General features: G+C 44.2%; 1 protein-coding gene across 10 annotated transcripts in view; it reads right to left on the bottom strand.

Moving 5' to 3' along the window:
* Positions 1 to 17255, bottom strand: part of TTLL6 (tubulin tyrosine ligase like 6) — a 54996-nt gene that overhangs the window by 9126 nt on the left and 28615 nt on the right. For all 10 annotated transcript variants that reach the window (NM_001130918.3, NM_001366314.2, NM_173623.4 and 7 more), the window contains 3 exons: positions 16452 to 16640; positions 14805 to 14976; positions 13564 to 13842 (listed from right to left, as the gene is read on the bottom strand). In NM_001130918.3, the coding sequence (NP_001124390.1) occupies positions 13564 to 13842; positions 14805 to 14976; positions 16452 to 16640 (640 nt within the window). The remainder of the gene's footprint in view (positions 1 to 13563; positions 13843 to 14804; positions 14977 to 16451; positions 16641 to 17255) is intronic.

Consider the following 17255-nt stretch of genomic DNA (forward strand, 5'->3'; position numbering starts at 1 on the left):
GGTTCATGCCTGTAATCCCAATTATTTGGGAGGCAGAGGTGGAAGGATCACTTTAGGCCAGGAGTTTGAGACCAGCCTGAGCAACACAGCAAGATCCTCATCTCTAAAATAATTGTTTAAAAATTAGCCAAGCATGGTGGTGCACACCTGTAGTCCTAGCTACTCGGGAGGCTGAGGCAAGAGGATCACTTGAGCCTGAGAGCTTGAGGTTATAGTGAGGTATGATCACACCACTTCACTCCAGCTTAGGCGACAGAGCAAGACCCTGACTAAAATATATATATAAAATGTGTATATATACACATTAGTGTATATATATATATTTATCTATCACTCTTTAGAAGAACAAACAGAATCCAGAGACTCTACAATGAATCACTGCATCATGCATAATTCATGATGTCCAGCATCCAAACTTAAAACCACTAGATATGGCCAGGTGCAGTGGCTCACACCTGTAATCCCAGAACTTTGGGAGGACAAGGCAGGAGGATCACTTGAGGTCGGGTGTTTGAGACCAGCCTAGCCCACATGGCAAAACCTCATCTCTACTAAAAATACAAAAATTAGCCGGGCATGGTGACAGGCACCTGCAATTCCACCTACTCGGGAGGCTGAGGCAGAGGAATCACTTGAACTCGGGTGGCAGAGGTTGCAGTGAGCTGAGATTGCGCCACTGCACTCCAGAAGCCTGGGTAACAAAGCAAGATTCTATCTCAAAACAAAACAAAACAAAACAAAAAAACCCACTAGATATGCAAAAAAAGAAAAGAAAAGAAAAGAAAGAAACCAGAAAAATATAATCCACACTCGAGAGAAAAAAGTAGTCAATACACTAAGACCAGCTGGCCGCAGTGGCTCATACCTATAATCCCAGCACGTTGGGAAGCCAAGGTAGGTGGATTGCTTGAGGCCAGGAGTTCCAGACCAGGCTGGGCAACATAGCAAGACCATATTGCTTAAAAAATTAAAATAATAGATAAATAAAAATAAAGAAATAAAATACTATGAGATGACCCAAATGTTGGTTCATTAGCAGACAAGAACTTTAGCAGGCATTATAAATATGGCCAAAGAATTAAAAGAATATGGCTGGGTGCAGTGGCTCACGCCTGTAATCCCAGCACTTTGGGAGGCCGAGGTGGGCGGATCACGAGGTCAAGAGATCGAGACCATCCTGGCCAACATGGTGAAACCCCGTCTCTACCAAAAATACAAAAAATTAGCTGGGTGTGGTGGCACGCGCCTGTAGTCCCAGCTACTCGGGAGGCTGAGGCAGGAGAATCACTTGAACCTGGGAGGCAGAGGTTGCAGTGAGCCAACATTGCACCACTGCACTCCAGCCTGGCGACAGAGTGAGACTCCGTCTCAAAAAAAAAAAAAAAAAATTAAAAGAATGTATGCATACAAAATTCAAAAGTTGGGAATCTAAGCAAAAAAACACAAACTATAAAAAAGAACACTAGCCTGGGCAATATGTACAAAAACTACAAAGATTAGCCAAGCATGGTGGCATGCACCTGTGTCCCACCTATTTGGGAAGCAGAAGCCAGAGGATTGCTTGAGCCCAGAAGGTTGAGCCTGCAGTAAGCTGTAATTGTGTCACTGCACTCCAGCCTGGGTGACAGAGTGAGACCCTGTCTCAAAAAAATAAATAAAAAGAACTGAGTAGTATTTCTATAGGGCTTAAAGGTATAATAATTGAAATAAAAAATTCACTGAATGGGCTTAATGGCAGACAAAACAGTCAGCGAGTTTGACTATAGAGCAATAGAAATTATTCAATCTGAAAACAAAAGAGAATCAAGATTAAAGAAAAGTAAATAGAACCTAAGAAGTCTGTGAGACAATATTCTGTGACTTAACATACATGTTATTGAAGGGTCCAGAAGAGAAGAGAAACAAAATAAGGCAGCAAAAGATTTTGAATAATGGCAATAAATTTCTCAAATTTGGTGAAAGCCATCAACTTATAAAAACAAGATCAAGAACCCTAAGTAAGATAAATACAAATAAAACCATACTCTGGTTTCTCTTTAGATGGTATAAATCTTCCACCTTTTACAAATAAAACCACACCCAGACACATTACAGGCTCATGCCTATAATCCCAGCACTTTGACAAGCTAAGGCAGGTGGATCACTTGAGGTCAGGAGTTTGAGACCAGCCCGGCCAACATGGTAAAACCCAGACTCTACTGAAAATACAAAAATTAGCTGGGCGTGGTGGTGCACGCCTGTATCCCAGCTACTCAGGAAGCTGAGGTGGGAGGATTGCTTGAGCCCAGGAAGATTGAGGTTGCAGTGAGCCATGATTGTGTCATTACACTCCAGCCTGGGCAACAGAGTGAGAGCCTGTTTAAAAATAAAAATAAATAAATGATTATATTAGGAAAAAAGTCTTAATAGTCTAAGGTTTCTCCTTAAAAAACTAGAAAAGTGGCTGGGTGGGGTGGCTTACGCCTGCAATCCCAGCACTTTGGGAGGCCGAAGCGGGTGGGTCACCTGGGGTCGGGAGTTCAAGACCAGCCTGACCAACATGGAGAAACCCCGTCTCTACTAAAAATACAAAATTAGCTGGGCGTGGTGGTGCATGCCTGTAATCCCAGCTACTTGGGAGGCTGAGGCAGGAGAATCGCTTGAACCTGGGAAGCGGAGGTTGCAGTGAGATGAGATCGTGCCATTGCACTCCAGCCTGGACAACAAGAGCAAAACTCCATCTCAAAAAAAACAAAACAAAAAAAAAAAAAAAACAAGAAAAGTAAAATAAATCCAAAGCAAGCAGAAGGCAAGTATTAATAAATAGCAGAAATCAATAAAATCAAAAATAGAAAAATAGACAAAACTCAATGAAACCAAAATCCAGGTTTGTTGTTTTTTTTTTTTTTTTTTTGAGACGGAGTCTCGCTCTGTCGCCCAGGGTGGAGTGCAGTGGCTGGGACTACAGGCGCACATTGCCACGCCCAGCTAATTTTTTGTATTTTAGTAGAGACGGGGTTTCACCGTGTTGCCCAGGCTGTTCTCGAACTCCTGAAATCAGGCAATCCGCCCGCCTCGGCCTCCCAAAGTGCTAGGATTACAGGCGTGAGCCACTATGCCCGGCCCAAAATCTAGTTTTTTTTTAAAAGGTCAATAAAATTGATAACTCCAGCAACATTTATAAAGTAAAAAAGAGAAAGAATAAGGAAATTACTAATATCAGGAATGAAAAAGAGGGTATCACTAGACTCTACAGACATTAAAATGAAAATAGGGACTACTATAAATAACTCTTCATGTATAAAGCCACCTCAGATGAAATGAACCAATACCTCAAAAACCACAAACTGCCGAAATTCATTCAAAATAAAATAAGTTATTTGGATAGTCTTATATCTACTTTTTTTAAATTGAATTTTTAGTTTAAAATACTCTAAAAAAGAAATATCCAGGCCCAGATAGTTTCTCTGGAGAATTCTATCCAAATATTTAGATAAGAAATAATGACAAATCACCAGGCACCATGGCTCATGCCTACAATCCCAGCACTTTGGAAGGCTGAGGAGGATGGATCACTTGAGGTCAGGAGTTCGACACCAGCCTGGCCAACATGGTGAAACCCCACCTCTACTAAAAATACAAAAATTAGCTGGGCATAGTGGCGGGTACCTGTAAATCCCAGCAACTCAGGAGGCTGGGGCAGGAGAATTGATTGAACCTGGGAGACTGAGCAAAGATCGTGCCACTGCACACTAGCCTGGGTGACAGAGTGAGACTCCATCTTAAAAAAAAAAAAGAAAGAAAGAACAACAAATCTATATAATCTCTTGCAGAAAACAAAAGAGAAAGGAATACTTCCTACTTCCCAACTCACTTTATGGGGCCAGAATTACACTGATATCAAAGATATACAACGAAAATAGAAGAAAAAAAACACTATAGACCAGTATCTTTTATGAACTTAGACATAAAATTTCCCAACAAAAATTTTAGCAAATTAAATTCAGCAATGTATTAAAAAATATACAATGACCAAGTGAGGTTTATCCTGGGAATGCAAGGTAGGTTCAATATTGAAAAATCAATCAGTGTAACCCACCATATTAGCAGTCTAAAGAAAAAAATCCATATGATTATATCACTTGATGCCAAAAAAGCACTTGACAAGGTTCAACATCCATCTATTATTATTATTATTATTATTATTATTATTATTATTTGAGACAGAGTTTTGCTCTTGTTGCCCAGGCTGGAGTGCAATGGCACGATCTTGGCTCACCACAATCTCTGCCTCCTGGGTTCAAGCAATTCTCCTGACCCACCCTCCTGAGTAGCTGAGATTACAGGCATGCACCACCACATCCGGTTAATTTTGTATTTTTAGTAGAGATGGGGTTTCTCCATGTTGGTCAGGCTAGTCTCGACCTCCCAACCTCAGGTGATCTGCCCACCTTGGCCTCCCAACGTGCTGGGATTACAGGCGTGAGCCACTGCACCTAGCCTCATCCATCCATTATTTTAAAAAACTCTCAGCAAACTAGGAATAGAAGTGACCTTTTTCAATCTGATAAAGGGCATCTACAAACACCTGACAGCTAACATCATACTTAATAGTAAAAGATTGAATGTTTCCCCGCTAAAATCAGAAACAAGACAAAGATGTTCGCTGTTTCCACCCCTATTCAACGTTGTACCAGAAGTCCTAGCCAGTGCAATAAAGCAAGAAAAATAAAGAGACTAATGATTGGAAAGAAATAAAACTGTCTTTATTTGAAAGTGACATATGATGAAAATCCTAAAGAATCAACAAAAAAACTTACTAGAATTCATAAGAAATTTAAGTCTAGGCTGGGCGCAGTAGCTCATGCCTGTAATACTAGCACTTTGGGAGGCCAAGGTGGGCGGATCACGAGGTCAGGAGATCGAGACCATCCTGGCCAACATGGTAAAACCCTGTCTCTACTAAAATAAAATAAAAAAATTAGCCAGGTGTGCGCCTGTAGTCCCAGCTACTCAGGAGGCTGAGGCAGGGGAATCACTTGAACCTGGGAGGTGGAGGTTGCAGTGAGCCGAGATCGTGCCACTGCACTCCAGCCTGGTGACAGAGCGAGACTCTGTCTCAAAAAAAGAAATTTAAGTCTCAAAATTCAAGATAGTATACATTAATCATTATTTCTATATGCTAAGAACAACTGGAAATTAAAATTTAAAGAAATAATTCCATTTACAATATTGTCAAACAACAAATACTTAGGAATAAATTTAACAAAAGGTGCAAAATGTCTACATTGAAAACTATAAAACTTTGTTGAGGAAATTAGAGAATATCTAAATAAATGGAAAGATAAATCATGTTGGAAGACTAGAAGATTCACTATTTTGTTTTATTTTGATTTCTTGTTGCATAATACCAAATATTCACTATTGTTAAAGACATTGTTTCTCCTCAAAATTTTCTGCAGATTCAGCACAATGCCAATCAGAATCCCAGTGTGCTTTTTTTGCAAAAATTGATGAATTTATTCTAAAATTTAAGTGGAAATGCAAAGGACCTAGAAGACCCAAAACAGTCTTGAAAAAGAACAGCAAAAGTGGAGGACTTATATTATCTAATTCTAAGATTTTCTATATAGGTTCAGTAATCAAGACAATGTGGTATTGGCATAAGGATAGACACACACACACACACACACACACACACACACACACACCCCTAAAAAATCAAAGGAACAGAATAGAGTACAAAAATAGATCTACATTTACATGGTCAATCACTTTTCAGCCAAGTTACCAAAGCAATTCAATGATAAAGGAAAGTCTTTACAATAAATAGTTTTGGAACAACTGAACATATATATGGGAAAAACAAACCTTGGATCTTGTCATCTAACATACTTAAAAATTAATTTGATGTGGATCATGAATCTGAAACACAAAGCTAAAGTTATAAAACTTCTAGAAAAAACATAGGAGTGGCCAGGTGCAGTGGTTCACGCCTGTAATCCCAGCACTTTGGGAGGCCGAGGCAGGAGGATCACCTGAGGTCAGGAGTTCGAGACCAGCCTGACCAATATGGTGAAACCTCGTCTCTACTAAAAATACAAATATTAGGCTGGGCGTGGTGGCTCATGCCTGTAATCCCAGCACTTTGGGAGGCCGAGGCGGGTGGATGGTCTGAGGTCAGGAGTTCGAGACCAACCTGGCCAACCTGGTGAAACCCTGTCTCTACTAAAAATACAAAAATTAGCTGGGCATGGTGGCAGGCACCTGTAATCCCAGCTACTCAGGAGGCTGAGGCAGGAGAATCACTTGAACCTGGGAGGCAGAAGTTGCAATGAGCTGAGGTCGTGCCATTGCACTCAAGCCTGGGCGACAGAGTGAGACTCCGTCTCAAAAAAAAAAAAATATACAAAAATACAAAAATTAGCCGGGCATGGTGGTGGGCGCCTGTAGTCCCAGCTCCTCAGGAGGCTGAGACAGGAGAATTGCTTGAACCTGGGCGGCAGAGGTTGCAGTGAGCCGAGACTGTGCTACCGCACTCCAGCCTGGGAACAGAGTGAGACTCCATCTCAAAAAAGAAAAAACATAGGAGAACATATTTGTGACCTGAGGTACATGAAAATCTCTTAGATAGGATATAGAAAGCAACAACCATGCTGGGCGCCCGGTGGCTCACGCCTGTAATCCCAACACTTTGTTAGGCCCAGGCGGGCAGGTCACTTGAGGTCAGGGGTTCAAGACCAGCCTGACCAACATGACTAAACCCCGTCTCTACTAAAAATACAAAAATTAGCCGGGTGTGGTGGTGTGTACCTGTAGTCCCAGCTACTTGGGAGGCTGAGGCAGGAAAATCACTTGAACCCGAGAGGCAGAGGTTGTAGTAAGCCAAGATCATGCCACTGCACTCCAGCCTGGCCTACAGAGCGAGACTCCATCTCAAAAAAGAAAAAAAAAAAAGACAAGAAAGAAATAAAGAAAGAGAGAGGGAGGGAGGGAGAAAGGAAGGAAGGAAGGAAGAGCTATACAAGAAAAATTGATAAACTTTATCAAAATTAAAATTTTTCACTAATCAAAAAACACTATTAGGAAAAAATCAAGTAAATTTCCAGAATATATAAATTAAGTAATTCCCACAATGGAATAGTCAAAAGACAAACAATCCTACCCAAAAAGGAGGCCAGGCACAGTGGCTCATGCCTGTAATCCCAGCACATTGGGAGGCTGAGGTGGGAGGATTGCTTGAGCCCAGGAGTTTGAAACCAGCCTGGGCAACAAAGCAAGACTCAGTCTCTTAAAAAAAAAAAAAAAAATTGCCAGACACAGTGGCTCACACCTATAATCCTAGCACTTTGGGAGGCTGAGGCGGGCTGATCATGAGGTCAGGAGTTCGAGACCAGCCTGACCGACATAGTGAAACCCCGTCTCTACTAAAAATACAAAAATTAGCTGGGCGTGGTGGTGCTCATCTGTAATCCCAGCTACTCAGGAGGCTGAGGCAGGAGAATCGCTTGAACCCGGGAGGTAGAGGTTGCAGTGAGCTGAGACCACACCACTGCACTCCAGCCTGGGTAACAGAGTGAGACTCCATCTCAAAAAAAAAAAAAAAAGATTAGCCAGGAACGGTGGTGAGGGCCTGTAGTCTCAGCTACTCAGGAGGCTGAGGTGAAAGGGAGGATCCCTTGAGCTCAGGAATTTGAGGTTGCAGTGAGCTATGATGGTGCCACTGCATTCCAACCTGGGTGACAGAGTGAGGCTCTGTCTCAGAGGGGGAAAAAAAGGGAGGGGATGAAAACTTGAATATACTTGACAAAGAAAGATAAATAACCAGTAAACATCAGGGAAATACAAAGTAAAACTACAATGAGATATCAAAACATAGCCATTAGAGTGGTTCAAATTTAAAAGACAGGGAGGCTGAGGCATGAGAATTGCTTGAACCCGGGAGGCTGAGGTTGCAGTGAGCCAAGACTGTGCTATTGCACTCTAGCTTGGGCAACAGAGCAAGACTCTGTCTCAAAAAAAAAAAAAAAAAAAAAAAAAGACAGATAACGCCAAAACGTTGACAAAGATATGGAGCTACGGAGCAACTGGAACTCTCATAAATTGCTGCTTAAAATGTACAATAATACAGTCACTTTGGATAAAGACTTTGGAGTTTCTTATAAAGTTACATATAGATTTACCTTTTGATCCAGTGATCCTTCTCCTAGGTAGTTATACAAGGAAATGAAAACATTTGTCCACAAAATGATGTGTACAAAAATGTTCACAGGAGCTTTAATGACCATAAAATAAACAACCAAACAAACAAAAAACTGGGAACAACCCAAAAGTCTATCAATAGGTGAATGGATAAACAAACTGTAGTATATCTGTACAGTGAAATACAATTCAGCAAACTACTGATTAGCCCAACAACATGGATTTATCTCAGAGATATGGTACTGAGCCAAAGAAGCCAGACACAAAAGAACATATACTATATTATTCCATTTACGTAAAATTCTAGAACAGGCAAAACTAAGGTGAAAAAGTCAAAGAAGTCAGAGTCAGGGTAGCAGATGCCTTGAAGAGGGATGAGGGGAGGAAGATTGCCTGGGAAGAAACAGGAGGAAACTTTCTGGAGATATCAAAATGTTCGTATCATGATATATCATGATAGCATGTAGGTTATAGGGTACATTTATTTGCCAAAATTGTACGGTGAAGATTTGAGTAAATTTAATCTTAGGGAAAAAATAGGGCTCAGAAAAAAAAAAGAGGACATAGAATGAGATATATAATCAAATCATATTTAAATACATTTTGTTTGTTTATTTATTTTGAGACGGAGTTTTGCTCTGGTCGCCCAGGCTGGAGTGCAATGGTGCAATCTCGGCTCACTGCAACCTCTGCCTCCTGGGTCCAAGCAATTCTCCTGCCTCAGCGAACTCCTGACCTCAAATGATCTGCCCACTTCAGCCTCCCAAAATGCTGGCATTACAGATGGGAGCCACTGCGCCCAGACTCTACTTTAAAAAATCCATTCTTTAAATGGGAAAACTGAGGTTTAGGGAATTTAAAGTGTCTAAAAGGAAGTTCTATTAAAAGGAGACTCCAGGATCCAATCGAAGGCAGCCAGATCCCCAAAGCATAATCTCTATTTTAAATTGTGGTTTAAATAAATAAATAAATAACATAAAATCTACCATCTTAGTCATTTTAAAGTGTTCTATATGTAGTAGTGTTAACTATATGCACATTTGTTGTGCAAGAGATCTCTAGAACTTTTGCACCTTGTGAAACTTATGTATTTATTAGACAAGTCCCCCTTCTCTCCCTCCGCCCAGTCCCTGGCAACCATGATTCCACTTTCTAAGAGGGGCTACTCTAGATACTTCACAGAAGTGGAATCATAACAGTATTTATCTTTTTGTGACTAGCTTCTTTGACTTAGCATAAACATCCTCAAGGGTAAGTCCTGTTGTAGCATTTGACAGGATTTCTCTCTTTTTTAAGGCTGAATAATATTTCATTATATGTATATACCACATTTTCTTTATTCATTTATCTGTGGTTGACGGGCATTTGGGTTGCTTCTACCTCTTGGTTATTATGAAAAATGCTGCAATGAACATGGGTGTGCAAATATCTTTTTGAGATCCTGTTTTCAATTATTTTGGGTATATACCCAGGAGTGGGATGGTTAGATTATAGGGTAATTCTATTTTTAATTTTTTTTTTTTTTAGACAAGAGTCTAACTCTGTTGCCCAGGCTGGAGTGCAGTGGCGCGATCTTGGCTCACTGTAAACCTGCCTCCCGGGTTCAAGCAATTCTCCTGCCTCAGCCTCCCGAGGAGCTGGCATTACATGTATATGCCACTATGCCTGGCTAATTTTTGTATTTTTAGTAGAGATGGGGTTTCATGATGTTGGCCAGGCTGGTCTTGAACTCCTGGCCTTAAGTGATCTGTCTGCCTCAGCGTCCCAAAGTGCTGGGATTACAGGCATGAGCCACTGCACCTAGCCCTATTTTCAATTTTTGGAGGAAGCTCCACACTGTTTCCTTAGAGGCTGCAGCATTTTACATTCCCATCAACAGTGCAGAAAGATTCCAATATCTCCACATCCTCACCGAGGCTTATTTTCTGTTTTTCATTTTTTTAAAAGTAATGACCATCCTAACAGCTATGAGGTGATATTTCATGGTTTTGATGTGCATTTCCCTGATGACTAGTGATGTTGAGCATCTTTTCATGCTATTGGCCATTTGTTTATCTTCTTTAGAAAAATGTTTGTTCAAGTCCTTTGTCTATTTTTAAATTGCATTTTTGTTGCTGTTGAGATGTAGGAATTCTTCATATATGCTGGATATTAAGCCTGCTATGGTGTGAATGCTGATGTCCCCCCAAAATTCATGTTGAAGTGCTAACCCCCAAGGTGACGGTAATAAGAGGTGGGGCCTTTGGGAGATGACTAGTGGAAAGGGCAGAACCCTCATGAATGGAATCAGTACCCTTATAAAAGAAGCTTCAGAGAGTTAACTAGCTCCTTCCACTGTGTGAGGACACAGCAAGAAGCTGCCGTCTATGAGGAATAGGCCCTCACCAGACATCAAACTTGCCAGCACCTTGATCTTGGACTTCTCAGCCTCCAGAACTGTAAGAAATAAATTTCTGTTGTTTATAAATTACGCAGTCTAAGGCATTTGGTTACAGCAGCCTGAACAGACTAAGGCAAATCCCTTATCAGACACGTGGTTTGTAAATATATATACTTTTTCTTTTCTTTTTTTTTTTTTTTTTTGAGACAGAGTCTTGCTCTATTGCCCAGGCTGTGGGGCAGTGGCATGATCTCAGCTCACTGCAACCTCTGCCTCCCAGGTTCAAGCGATTCTCCTGCCTCAGCTCCCCGAGTAGCTGGGATTACAAGCGCGCACCACCACGCCTGGCTAGGTTTTGTATTTTTAGTAGAAATGGGGTTTCACCACGTTGGCCAGGCTAGGTTTTGTATTTTTAGTAGAATTGGGGTTTCACCACGTTGGCCAGGCTGGTCTTGAACTCCTGACCTCAGGTGATCCTCCCACCTTGGCCTCCCAAAGTGCTGGGATTACAGGCGTGAGCCACTGCACCCTGCCCTGGTTTGCAAATATTTTCTCCCATTGCCCAAGTTGCCTTTTCACTCTGTTGGTTGTTGCCTTTACTGTGCAAAAGCTTTCAGTTTGACATGGTCTCATTTGTCTATTTTTGCTTCTGTTCACTGTGCTTTTAGTGGCATATGCCCAAGAAATTATGAAGCTGCAAAACATACTCTCTTAAAGGTGCTTTTCAAACCATGGGTTGTAAACCTATGAAATCATGAATTAATCTGGTAGGTTGTAACTGGTACTTTTTTTTTCTTTTTTCTTTTTTTTTGAGACAGAGTCTCGCTCTGTCACCCAGGCTGGAGTGCAATGGCACGATCTTGGCTCATTGCAACCTCCGCCTCCTGGGTTCAAGTGATTCTTCCGCCTCAGCCTCCCAAGTAGACGGGATTGTAGGCACCCACCATCATGCCCAGCTAATTTTTGTATTTTTGTAGAGACGGGGTTTCATCATGTTGCCGAGGCTGGTCTTGAACTCCTGACCTCAGGTGATCCACCCACCTCGGCCTCCTAAAGGGCTGGGATTACAGGTGTGAGCCACTGCACCTAGCCTTAACTGGTACTTTTTCAAAGAATAGAACAGACAGAATAGCACAGAATAGAAAATGTTAATTGAGGTATCATATGTAGTATGCCTAAGCACTGTTTTAGAAACTTTTTTCCAGGTGTGTGTGTGGGAGGTGGGGCGGGGGTGATGGATTGTGAAATAAAGTGGATTTCTTACTGTGGGCTATGGTGAAAAATTTTGAAAAGCATTGCCCTACTCTCTACTGCACTTGGTCCAAATGAAGGCCCAACAATGCTGAAGATTTTCCAGTAATTACAGTAGGGTCAGCCCTTGGTGGGCTTCAGTGGGAGGAACACAAAGAGATCTGTGCTAGGGCAGTTAGTACCATGTTCATGTGGCAACTTCGTTTCTGCAAAATAGAAAAGTCAACTGTCACCTTAAGTGAATATTTTTTATTTAAAAAATATTGTTTTTTTTTTTTTAGATAGAGTCTCACTCTGTTGCCCAGACTGGAGTGCAGTGGCATGATCTGGGCTCACTGCAACCTCCACCTACCGGGTTCAAGCAATTCTGTTGTCTTAGCCTCCCAAGTAGCTGAAATTACAGGCATGCACCATCACACCTGGCTAATTTTTGTATTTTAGTAGAGATGGGGTTTCACCATGTTGGCCAAGCTGGTCTCAAACTCCTGACCTCCAGTGATCCATCTGCTTCGGCCTCCCAAAGTGCTGGGATAACAGGCATGAGCCACTGCACTCAGCTTTTATTTATTTAAATTTTATTGGTGCTATTTGTTTTGGTTTGGTTCTATGGTTGCCTAAGTGCTCTAAGTATAAAGATTTTATGTCTGCTTTTATGCTTGTATATATTCATAAAAATAATTTAAGTCTACAATGGGGGTCTGAGAGAGTTTTCTTTCCTTCAAAACAAGGTGTCCATACATCAACAGAGTTTGAGAAATACTGTTTAGGCTGTGCTGAGTTCAAAGGTGTACTACCAAAATTCATGTCCAATTGGATAGAACCTCTCAGAATGTGACCTTATTTGGAGAGAGGGTCTTTGCAGTTATGATTAGTCAAAGGTATGATTATGAGATCACACTGGATTAGGGTAGGCCCTAAATCCAATGACTGGTGTCCTTATAAGAAGGCCATGTAAAGATACACAGGGGAAGGCCAGGCGTGGTGGCTCACGTCTGTAATACCAACACTTTAGGAGGCTTGAGCTCATGAGTTCAAGACCAGCCTGGGCAACATGGTGAAACCTTCTCGACAAAAAATACAAAAATTAGCCCGGCATGGTGGTGTGTGCCTGCAGTCCCAGCTACTTGGGAGGCCGAGGCGAGAGGATGGCTTGAGCATGGGAGGCAGAGGTTGCAGTGAGCGGAGATTGCACCACTGCACCCCAGCCTAGGTAACAGAGCCAGACCTTGTCTCAAAAAAAAAAATAAGATACACAGAGGAGAAGCACAGAGAAGAAAGCCACATGACACCAGAGGCAGAGATTGGAGTTATGCTGCCACAAACCAAGGACTGCCAAGCACTCAGCAGCCACCAGACAGAATCCAGCAAGAAGCAAGGAAGGATCCTCCGTCTAGAGCCCTGAGATGGAGCATGGTCCTGCCAACACCTTGGTTTCAGACTTCCAGCCTCAAGAACTGTGAGAGAATAAACGGTGTTGCCTCCACCAAGTTGGAGGCAATTTGCCACAGCAGCTCTAGGAACCACTCCAGGGGATAACCTGCCTCCCAAGAGGGGACGCACAAGAGCATCTTCCTAAATGCCGGTCCTCCCAGCAGCTATGCCATTCCACAGTGTGGGCTTCTCAAGGGGAGACACCAAGGCCCAGGGAGGCTCAGTGGCTTACTCAAAGGGTCACAGCAAGTTGGGGGTAGAGAAAGGACCAGTAAGCAAGACTCCCACCACTCCCTCCCAGAGCTCGGCTCACTACTTACCACAGTGCCAGTGAATACGTTCACTGCAGAGGCAGACTTGGCCTCCTTGATGCTGAAGTTGGGTTTACTGGGCTCCAACTTCGAGCTGCTGAGATTGATATTCCTCAGATCGGGTAGAGAACTGAAGGGCTTCGCAGACGTCAGCTTGGGGAAAACAGAGCTGGCCTCCTCCGTGGGAGCCTCCTGGTTGAGGCTGCTGTCTGTTTCATTTTTCCTTTCACCTCTGACACTCAAGAGCAAGTCAGGTGTGTAGGATACTAATGTCAATGGCTGGATGTACTGAGGGAGGAAGAAACCACAACACACAGCCATGGGAACCCAGCTCTATCCACTTCCAGATTCATCTGCACCCAGGGGTAGGTGAAAAAGAGATGAGGAGAAGGAAAGCAGTCGATAGTAAAGTCTCTCTAATGTGGGGCTCTCAACTTGGAATTCTGGGACCCTTAGAGGACTCATGGATAGCTCACAGGGTCTCTGAGCCACTTGAAATTGCAGTTTAAAAACTGTGCATTGTGTACTTTCTGGCAAGAGATTCCATAGCTTTTATCAGATTCTTAAAGGGTCTGTGACCCTAACAAAGTTGAATAATACGAAACAAAAATCCCTGCTCTAATCCAGGTGAGCCTTTGAGACAAAGTAGATGGACTGAAAACTCAGCTGAATCTTCCCACTGAGCTAGAAGAGAGTGCTAAGCAGAGAAGGCGTAGACAGACCACAGGCCAGCTGGATAGCTGACCCACAGCCAGGACTGGTCCACGCTTTGCATAGAGGAGGAGAGACCCAGCCATGACCGACATCCCATGTAATGTTCTGAGAGTCCTGTTCCCAGAAGCTCTTCCCAGTGGCCTGCTCTCTCCACTGTGCCCTGGCCTGCTAGAGGGGAGCATTCCAACCCAAGCTGCAGTTGAGGACCAGGAGTACATGCACTCCTGAAGCCCGCTCCCTAAATAAGGTTCATGCTCAGCCTCCCAGCATGGCCTGGCTGCTCTTACTCCTACTGGAGGAGGCAAGCAGGACAGACCGGTGAGAGTCCTCTGCTGCCTGGATTGAGGGATCCTCTAAAAGATGCCGGCTCCTGTGTGCCTTCAGGGCTCCCCGCACCGCCCCGTCGTTGCCCAGCCCTCTGCACAGCCTTTCGGTGTGTCTGGGCTCTGAGCAGTGGTCTCCTCAGCACCCCTCCACGGATCAGGCCCAGGTGGGGAAGGGTGTGGCTACGTGTGTTCCCCTCAATCCAGGTTTACCTGTTTGGAGGCTTGGGTGGCGGCCTTGTCTTTCTGCTGTTGTTTCTGTTGCCAGCCCCTCATGCCCTTCTTTCTCACTTGCTCGCCTGCCGATTCCCCCTGCATCTCTACCTTCTTCTTCATTTGGAAGGGCTTTTTCTCCCGTTTTAGTCTCAGCTCCTGGATCAGTTGCCTGCCCATGAAGAACAAGTGAACATCATGGGGGTTAGAAATGCGCTGCGCAGGCAGGCATTCTCCTTGAGGGATGGACATGACTGGGCGAAAAGTTAGCAAGTTCCACATTCCCTCCTCCAACATATCCAGTCTGCACAAGTGATTGAATGTCAAGGAGCAGGGTGTGGAGGAAAGCATCATTCTGCCAACCATACCATCCCCTGTGTGGGAATAGCATCCAAGGAGAGATGTGCAGTAAGGGGGCTATTCCCTAGTCCATCACAGCCCTATTTGTTCCCCACTTCCCAGCAGGCCAGTTCCCATCCATGGCAGGTGCTGGGGAGAGGGTCTGGGTAGGAGGCTAACGCCAGAGGCTCTCATATTGCGCCATTTCATGTGCTGGGCCTGTCTAGCCAATGGATGCTGAGAGTGGACAAAAGGTGACATAATATAGCAGAAATAACTCAGTCTCATGAATCAGGACACAGGGGAGTTCTGGTCCCTCTTCTGTCATCTTTTTTTTTTTTTTTTTTTTGAGATGGAGTCTCGCTCTGTCCCCCAGGCTGGAGTGCAGTGGCACAATCTCAGCTCACTGCAACCTCTGCCCCTCCAGGTTTAATTCTCTGCCTCAGCCTCCAGAGTAGCTGGGATTACAGGAGCATGCCACCACTCTCGGCTAATTTTTTGTATTTTTAGTAGAGATGGGGTTTCACCATCTTGGCCAGGCTGATCTTGAACTCCTGACCTCGTGATCCACCTGCCTCGGCCTCCCAAAGTGCTGGGATTACAGGCGTGAGCCACCGCGCCTGGCCTGTCATCATCTTTATATGTGATCCCTCCTCTGCTCTGCCTTCTCTTTCCACAAAATGAGCTGGTAGGAGAGGACTGGACTCAGTGGATGAGTCCCTCCAGCTCCTGGAGTTTACGCCTGTGTGAATCCATGAGGCAGCTTTGAGGGGGTGGCTATCCTCAGGAGTGAGTTTCTAGAAAGAGCTACTTCTCTCCACTTCACATAGGGAATCTTCCAATTCCTTGTCCTTGCGAGACCAGGGCAGATGTTCATCTGGCAACTTTCTTTTTTTGCTTTTCTTTGAGACAAGGTCTGACACTGACACCCACGCTGGAGTGCAGGGGTGCAATCACAGCTCCCTGCAGCTTCCACCCCCTGGGCTCAGGTGATTCTCCTACCTCAGCCTCCTGAGTAGCTGGGAGTATAGGCACATGCAACCATGCCCAGCTAATTTTCCTTTTTGTTGTTTTGTAGAGATGGGGTTTCGCCATGTTGCCCAGTCTGGTCTTGAACTCCTGGGCTCATGCCATCCACCTGCCTTGGCCTCCTAAAGTGCTAGGACTACAGGCGTGAGCCACGGCGCCTGGTTGCTCTGGCAACTTTCATGGCTGGGGACTCTCCCTGCCACTCCAGGCCAGTCAGCCAATAGATCACACACAATCCCCAGAACCCCTCCACCGACCTCATCCCGGATGTCTTCCTACCGGGCATACTCCTCCCGAGCCCTGGAAGCAACAGTATTCTGGAAGAGGGAGTTGTTGTCCTGGAAAAACTTCTCATACTTCTCCGAATTCAGACTGGGATAAATCAGTCGGAACCCTCCACAGTTTTCCTTCTCATACGTTTCAGTTTTCTTTAACTGCACGGCCCGGAAACCCTTGGCTTCCTCAATCCTGTTGGGAAGCAGAACATGGGGCTGCTGTCAGGTTTTCTTGGGACAAAGCCTGGAAGGGATATGTCCAAGCTGGAGGTCGTCTAGGGCCAGATGGAGGCCTTGCACATAATGGCGGTCAATCAGGATTTGCTAAATAAATGCATGACTGTTTCCCTGAAAGGAGATTCTAGCCCTCCTGGGACAGCCAATGTCATAATGCACTAAAAGCTGGTTAGCACAGTCTTTCTAACAACTCACCAAATTCTGTCCTGTTCCAAGTAAAACCCATTTTCTACTCGGCTTAGCTCTGACTAGGCAGACTGTCGCCACCTTCCCATTCACAGCCCTGATTACCCTTTTCTAGAGAGTGGCAACTTGCACTTTTGCCGAATTTGAGGGCTTCCTGGATGACCTTGATGACCGTTTACGAGCTGCAATGATCTCATTCTTCCTCACAGCCCCCTGGGGGAAGTGGGGGTCAGACAGGGAGAAATGATAAGCCCCCTTTTACAGCAGGGAAACCCAGAGCCACAGAAATATCCAGGGCCAAATAATGAGGAGACTGATTCGGAGAAGGCCCTTAACCTGACAGCTGCTCCTCAACAGGACACTGCCTCCTTCTCGAGGAGTTTAG

Source organism: Homo sapiens, chromosome 17 (genome assembly GCF_000001405.40).
Source record: "Homo sapiens chromosome 17, GRCh38.p14 Primary Assembly".
Lineage (NCBI taxonomy): Eukaryota > Metazoa > Chordata > Mammalia > Primates > Hominidae > Homo > Homo sapiens.